General features: G+C 45.2%; 2 annotated features.

Moving 5' to 3' along the window:
- Positions 277–777: an enhancer, noted in NCBI's record as "H3K27ac hESC enhancer chr16:31527663-31528163 (GRCh37/hg19 assembly coordinates)". NCBI's record gives its function as "activates a minimal SCP1, AML or CMV promoter by ChIP-STARR-seq in primed H9 embryonic stem cells {active_cell/tissue: H9 hESC(primed)}" and the evidence as "EXISTENCE:reporter gene assay evidence [ECO:0000049][PMID:30033119]".
- Positions 484–684: a silencer, noted in NCBI's record as "peak2567 fragment used in MPRA reporter construct". NCBI's record gives its function as "represses an SCP1 promoter by STARR-seq MPRAs in K562 erythroleukemia cells {active_cell/tissue: K562}" and the evidence as "EXISTENCE:reporter gene assay evidence [ECO:0000049][PMID:32103011]".

The raw sequence follows: 7,289 nt of genomic DNA, 5'->3' as shown, positions 1-7,289 counted from the left end.
TGCTGTTATCCTGTTCTTTTTTCAAGGTGCCCAGATTTCATATTGTTCAAACACACATGCTCTACACACAATTTGTACAGTTAACACAATCATCACAAGGTCCTGAGGTGACATACATCCTCTTCAGTTTACAAAGATGACGGGATTGAGAGATTAAAGTAAAGACAGGCATAGGAAATCACGAGGGTATTGATTGGGGAAGTGATAAGTGTCCATGAAATCTTCACAATTTATGTTCAGAGATTGCAGTAAAGACAGGCATAAGAAATTATAAAAGTATTAATTTGGGGAACTAATAAATGTCCATGAAATCTTCACAATTTATGTTCTTCTGCCATGGCTTCAGCCAGTGCCTCCATTCAGGGTCCCTGACTTCCCGCAACAAAAAATATTTTCAATTCCCCAAGTGGGTACTGTCATTGCTGCCCCAGGTGAAAGTATAATTGCAGTTCTGTGGGGAGGTGAGGTCACAGGATCCTGAGCCCATATCTCTGACCTGGCCGCCTCCCTCCATACACTTGCTGGCCGTCCTAACAGTCACTGAGTTCCACAGCCCGGCAACAGGGAGGCGCCTGGTGGGTGTGTTACATTTTGGTCTATGAGGGATCGCCTGCAAGGGAAGGAAGTGTATCAGGAGGTGGGGTAAATGCTCTAGTCTGGAAAGGGGACTTCACTGGGCCAGAAACTGACCAGTGCCAAGGCCATGTGGGGAAAGGAAATAATTGCTGGGTCATGGGCTAAGTTGTAGAGAGGGAGCTAAGTTCTAAGAACATGAGCCAGTCCTGAACTGCGGCTCATTTATGTCATTGTTGGTTTTTGATGCAAGAGGCCAAAAATCTGTTGTTGTTTTTTTGTTTTATTTGAGACAGGGTGTGGCCCTGTCACCCAGGGTACAGAGGGACGATCTCAGCTTGCTGCAACCTCCACCTACCAGGTTCAAAGGTTTCTTGTGTCTCACCCGCCTGAGTAGCTGGGATTACAGGCATGCACCAACACGCCTAGCTAATATTTTTTGTATTTTTCATAGGGAAATACAAAATGATTTCACTATTTTGCCCTGGTTGGTCTCGAACTCCTGACCTCAAGAGAGCCACCCACCTCGGCCTCCCAAAGTGCAGGGATTATGGGCCTGAGCCACCATGCCTGGCCCCAAAAATCTGTTTTTGTTAATCTTTCTTGTCTAAGATCTCCTTACCCGTAAAATGGGAATAATGGGTTTTTTAAAGTTTTGTAGTTTAATTTGGAAATTAATTCACTAGTTGTTCTGTCAATTCCACAAGTCAGAACATTGTCAGGATGAGTGGAAGCATTTCTACAATTCCTTCATGCCTGTGATAATGTATAAGATATAGCTGATTAAATTATCTTATTCTTTTTCAAAAGTATTAAATATAAAGCTTTAACCTGCTCTGGACATACAAAGTACCTAATGGAGACTGTGATGTGTGGTGACAGGAAACATCTGGTCTCTGAGAATGATGAAAAGACCATGAAGTCAGGGGATGAGCGGTCAAGGTATCTTGATGACCTTAGGTTTTCATATTAGAACAAAAATCATGGACTTCAGTAGTTTTCTTAAGTAAATTATTTGATAATATTTACTCTGCCTTGAAAAACGTCCTAAAGCCATTCTTCGGCTCAATACTCATCTTAGTAACACTTAATTCAGTGAATAATTTTCCGTACCTTGAGTTTTCCTTTTACATAATAGACTTGTGTTTTAATATATCTAACAATTCTGACATTGAAATAATTTTTTTTTTTTGAGATGGAGTCTGGCTGTGTCACCCAGGCTGGAGTGCAGTGGCATGATCTCGGCTCACTGCAGCCTCTGCCTCCCAGGTCACGTGATTCTCCTGCCTCAGCCTCCCAAGTAGCTGGGCCCACAGGCATGCGTACCACCACATCCAGCCAATTTCTGTATTTTTATTAGAGACGGAGTTTCACCATGTTGGCCAGGCTGGTCTCAAACTCCTGACCTCAGGTGGTGATCCACCTGCCTCGATCACCCGAAGTGCAGGGATTACAGACATGAGCCACCATACCCGGCCTCCCCATCTCTATTTTTTAAAAAATAAAAATTTATTCTTTCCACAAATGGGTATTTGGACCCTACCTTGTGCCAGGCACTGACACAAAGCCCTGGAAATAGATTAGTGTTCCTGGATCTTATGATCGTTAGGGGAAGAGACAGGATGAGTGGCAGGGGTGAGGTTCAAGAGATCAGGCAGGGCCGGATCTGCAGAGTTTTGTTTGCTCTGACAAAAAGTTCGGGTTTTATTTTCAAGTATGAAGAAAAGCCATTGAAGGGTTTGGAGGAGAATGTTGCAATCTCCTTCCATAAAAGTAATGATAAGCCACTGTGAGGTGTTTTTGTTGTTGTTGTTTTTGAGACAGAGTCTCGTTCTGTCACCCAGGCTGGAGTGCAGTGGGACAATTTCGGCTCACTGCAACCTCTGCCCCCCAGGTTCAAGTGATTCTCCTGCCTCAGTCTTCCAAGTAGCTGGGATTACAGGCTAGTGCCACCACGCCTGGCTAATTTTTATATTTTCAATAGAGATGGGGTTTTACCATGTTGGCCAGGCTGGTCTCAAACTCCTGACCTCAAGTGATCCACTCACCTCAGCCTCCCAAAGTGCTGGGATTACAGGCATGAGCCACTGTGCCCAGCCCACTGAGAGGCTGTAAACCAGAGAGTTGGAAGCTGTGTGGAGAGTGACTACAGGAGGCAGGATTGGAAGGGGCGAAATCAACTAGGGGAAAGTCAAGGGGCTGAGAGCTTGGAGTATTCTGCCCCATGCTTGATATACCGGTGATCTTTGAACAACACGGGTTTGAACTGGGCAGGTCCACTTATAATGTAGATTTCTTTCAACCAAATATAGATCAAAAATATAGTAATGGCTGGAAGTGGTAGCATGCACCTGTAATTCTAGCTACTCAGGCAGTGAGATGGTAGGATCACTTGAGCCCAGGAGGTCAAGGCTGCAGTGAGCCATGGTCACACCCCTGCACCCAGCCTGGTGACAGAGTGAAACTATCTCCAAAAAGAGGAAAGGAAGAAGGGAGGAAGGGAGGAAGGGAGGGAGGAAGGAAGGGAAAAAGAAGGGAAGGAGGAAAGGAAGGAAGGGAGGGAGGCAGGAAAGGAAAAGAAGGAAGGGAGGGAGAGAGGGGAGAACAGAGCAAGAAGAAAAGAAAGGATACCAACATTTTTTCTTATTCAGTTAAATAATAAAAGGAAAAGGAAAGAAAATACAGCAGGCCGGGCGCAGTGGCTCATGCCTATAATCCCAGCACTTTGGGAGGCCGAGGCGAGTGGATCATGTGGGGTCAGGACTTCGAGACCAGCCTGGCCAACATGGTGAAACTCCGTCTCTACTAAAAATACAAAAATTAGCCAGACATGGTGGCACATGCCCGTAATCCCAGCTACTTGGGAGGCTGAGGTAGGAGAATCACTTGAACTCAGGAGGCGGAGGTTGCAGTGAGCTGAGATTGTGCCACTGCACTCCAGCCTGGGCAACAAGAGCGAAACTCCATCTAAAAAAAAAAAAAAAAGCAAATACAGTAACAGAGGGTTGCAAAAGCCACATATATGCAGAGCCAACTGCAAGACGAGTGTGTGCAGGTTTGCGTATACTCCAGGGTCCTGGAACCAATTCCCCAACTATAACAAGAGACAGTTGCACTATCAAATGACAGGATTTAGGCGCAGGCTTTCAAGAGACCTCATGAGAGAGAAATGTTACAGGCCGAAAGAATGAGGGTCATGATCAACTCAGTATACCACTGGAGGCTGTATGAGTAAACCACAAACTGTTTCTCATAAATGCAGAATGTTGGCAGACTGACAAACTGCGTCTGCCACCCAGAAGGAATGCTGAGGGCAGTCATGCCCCAAGCACAGTGTTTCTTGCGATTAGGTACATCTGAAGCCTGTTAATAATATTATGAACCTGTTATCAGTTAAGCAGCCAACCCATCATTACCTCCTCCTCCCTGCTCTTGCTACCCAACAAATACGAAGGGCTGTGGAAGCTCAAGGGCTGCCTTTGCTCACTAGAAGCAGGGAGCTCTCTTCTTCTTCCCCTGGACCCTTCCTTTTTGCTTTAAGTTTTCATTGTCTATGTTCATCCCTTCATTCAGTCTTGTAATGAGGGTGTTAAAGAGTAATGGCAGTAACTGTTATAATGACGGTCTCAAGTAGTAACAGTAGTAACTGTCATAATGATGGTCTCAAGTAGTAACAATAGTAACTGTTGTACTGATGGTCTCAAGTAGTAACAGCAACTGTCATAATGACGGTCTCAAGTACTAACAGTAGTAACTGTCATAGTGAAGGTCTCAAGTAGTCAGTAGTAACTGTCGTAGTGAAGGTCTCAAACAGTAACAGTAGTAACTATCATAATGAGGGTTTCAAGTAGTGACGGTGGCAGTCAGCCATAGAGAAAGGGGAACTATCACTCATCTCTTTGTCAAGCCACCTATCTGCACACTCAGGTCACAGGGAAGTGTATGATGGGTCCTTGCCCTCAGGCACTTACAGTCCACTTGGGAAGACAGGACATCTGTACCTAACAAAAGCAAATACAAACTGGCTCCAGACAGCATAGGCTAAGAGTTAAGTAAATGCTACAACGAACAGGGACTGTCATAGTCTCTGAGTAAGGAGATGTCAAGGTGGACAATGGTAAGCAGTAGAGCTGCAGTGGGTTCATAAATAATGTGACCATATATTCCCATTTGCCTGAGACAGCTTCACTGCAGACCTGTTTTCCCGCAGACCTGTTTTCCCAACACAATTATTACCAGTGCTTCCTTTAATGACCCTCTCAAAAGTCCTGGTTTGCACAATAAATTATACAGTGACACTAGTCATGAGGGCCACCTGCCTCACTTGGAGCCAAGGGCCTCACATTTGAACACTTGACATTATCTCTGAATAAGAACCAACACTTAAACAGTATGTACTATGTGCTAAATACTTTAAGAGTTTTGCACATACGACATGACTTTTTTGTTTTTTGTTTTTTTTTTAGACAGAGTCTTGCTCTGTCGCCCAGGCTGGAGTGCAGTGGCGCAATCTCGGCTCACTGCAACCCCCACCTCCCAGGTTCAAGCAATTCTCCTGCCTCAGCCTCCCAAGTAGCTGGGACTATAGGCACATATCACCACACCTGGCTCATTTTTGTATTTTTAGTAGACATGGGGTTTCACCATGTTGGCCAGGATGGTCTTGATCTCTTGACCTCGTGATCCGTCCGCCTCGGCCTCCCAAAGTGCTGGGATTACAGGCGTGAGCCACCGCGCCCGGCCAAGACATGACTCTTAATTCTCGTTCCAACTCTGTGTGGTAGGTACTAGTATTATTTCCATTTTACCATTACCATTTCGTCTTTCAGAAGAAGAAACTGAAAGACAGAGAGATATGTAACTTGCCCAAGATCTCACAGCTTCCTGGACAGCTTCCTGGACAGAACCTACATTCACAGTAAGGCCCTCTGATGCCCCAGAGTCCTATCCACTCACAGAAGCTAACCTTTCAAATATAACACAATGCTTGATCTTTCACTGTGCCAGGAAACTCAAAATTATTTTGAAAGGATAATTTATTGACAGTGTTATAAGCTAAATGGAAAATAAGAATTAAACATTAAATTTCTGCCAGGCACAGTTCATGCCTATAAGCCCAGCACTTTGGGAAGCTGAGGTGGGCAGATCACTTGAGCCCAGGAGTTTGAGACCAGCCTAGGCAGCATGGCAAAACCCTGTCTCTACAAAAATAAAATACAAAAATTAGCTAGCCATGGTGGCACACGCCTGTGGTCTCAGCTACTCGGGAGGCTGAGGCAGATCACTTGAACCCTGGAAGTTGAGGCTGTAGTGAGACTGTAGTGTGATCACACCACTGCACTCTCTGGGTGACAGAGAACCTGTCTTTTAAAAAAAATTAAATTTATTCAACTACTTCTCTAAAGTGCCACTCCAACATATACCAATATATTCTTTAATCTCAAGAGCTTTGGGAGGCCGAGGTGGGAGGATCACTTGAGGCCAGGAGTTGGAGACCAGCCTGGGCAACATAGTGAGATCCCATCTCTACAGAAAATTTTAAAAGTTGGCCAGGCATGGTGGTGCATGCCTGTAGTCCCAGCTACTTGGGAGGCTGAGGCAAGAGGATCACTTGAGCCCAGGAGTTTGAGGCTGCAGTGAGCTATGATTGCACCACTGCACTCCAGCCTGGGTGACAGAGCAAGACCCTGTCTCATCGATCGATTGATTGATTGACTGATAGAATAAAAAATAAATCTTAACCCTAAGGATGAAGAAGAGCTTGGCCTACAATGTCCTGCAGTTTGGCCCCTAACTCCCTAGCAGCCCTTTCCCCATGCCCCTCGTGCTCTAGACTTCTGCTGCACCGGCCTTTGTTGGATGTTAGGTACCATGCTCCCTCCCCACTCAGGACATGCTGCTCCTTCTTTCCAGAAAATTATTTTCCCATCATAATCAAGTTAACTCTTACTCTAGATCTCAGCTAAATACACACTTCCTCAAAAAAAAAGTTTCCCAGCTGGCCTCAACGGCTCATGCCTATAATCCTAGCATTTTGGAAGACCGAGGCGGGAGGCCTGGGCAACACAGAGAGACCCCAACTTAAATTTTTGTTAAAAAATTTCCCTTGGCCGGGCACAGTGGCTCATGCCTGTAATCCCAGCACTTTGGGAGGCGAGGCAAGCAGATGAGTTGAGGCCAGGAGTTCAAGACCAGCCTGGCCAACATGGCAAAACCCCGTCTCTACTAAAAATACAAAAATTAGCTGGGTGTGGTGGTGAATGCTTGTAACCCCAGCTACTCCGGAGGGTGAGGCAGGTGAATCACTTGAACCCAGGAGGTGGAGGTTGCAGTAAGCCAAGACTGTGCCACTGCACTCCAGCCTGGGTGACAGAGGGAGACTCCATCTCAAAAAAAAAAGTTTCCCTTGATTCCACTGATTAGCTCAATTCTCCTTCTAAAAGTCCTCATATTAAATAACATGTACCCCTCTACAGCAATTGAAATAGTTCCAACTTTGCATTTATTTGTATGATTTGATCAATATCCTTCCCTAATATAAGTTCCAAAAGACCAAGACCCTTGTTTGTTTTTGCTCACTATCCCAATGAGCACATAGGTAGCAACAGGTATTTGTAGAAGAAACTGGCAAACCATTGGTAAAAAAGAGATAACAAACACGGAGTTAATGACAACTGCACGGTTCAAGCGATTTTCTTGCCTCCGCCTCCCGGATA

The sequence above is a fragment of the Homo sapiens genome, chromosome 16 (assembly GCF_000001405.40).
Source record: "Homo sapiens chromosome 16, GRCh38.p14 Primary Assembly".
Lineage (NCBI taxonomy): Eukaryota > Metazoa > Chordata > Mammalia > Primates > Hominidae > Homo > Homo sapiens.
Note: the sequence above shows the minus strand (reverse complement) of the source record. Positions and strands in the feature narration are given on the sequence as shown.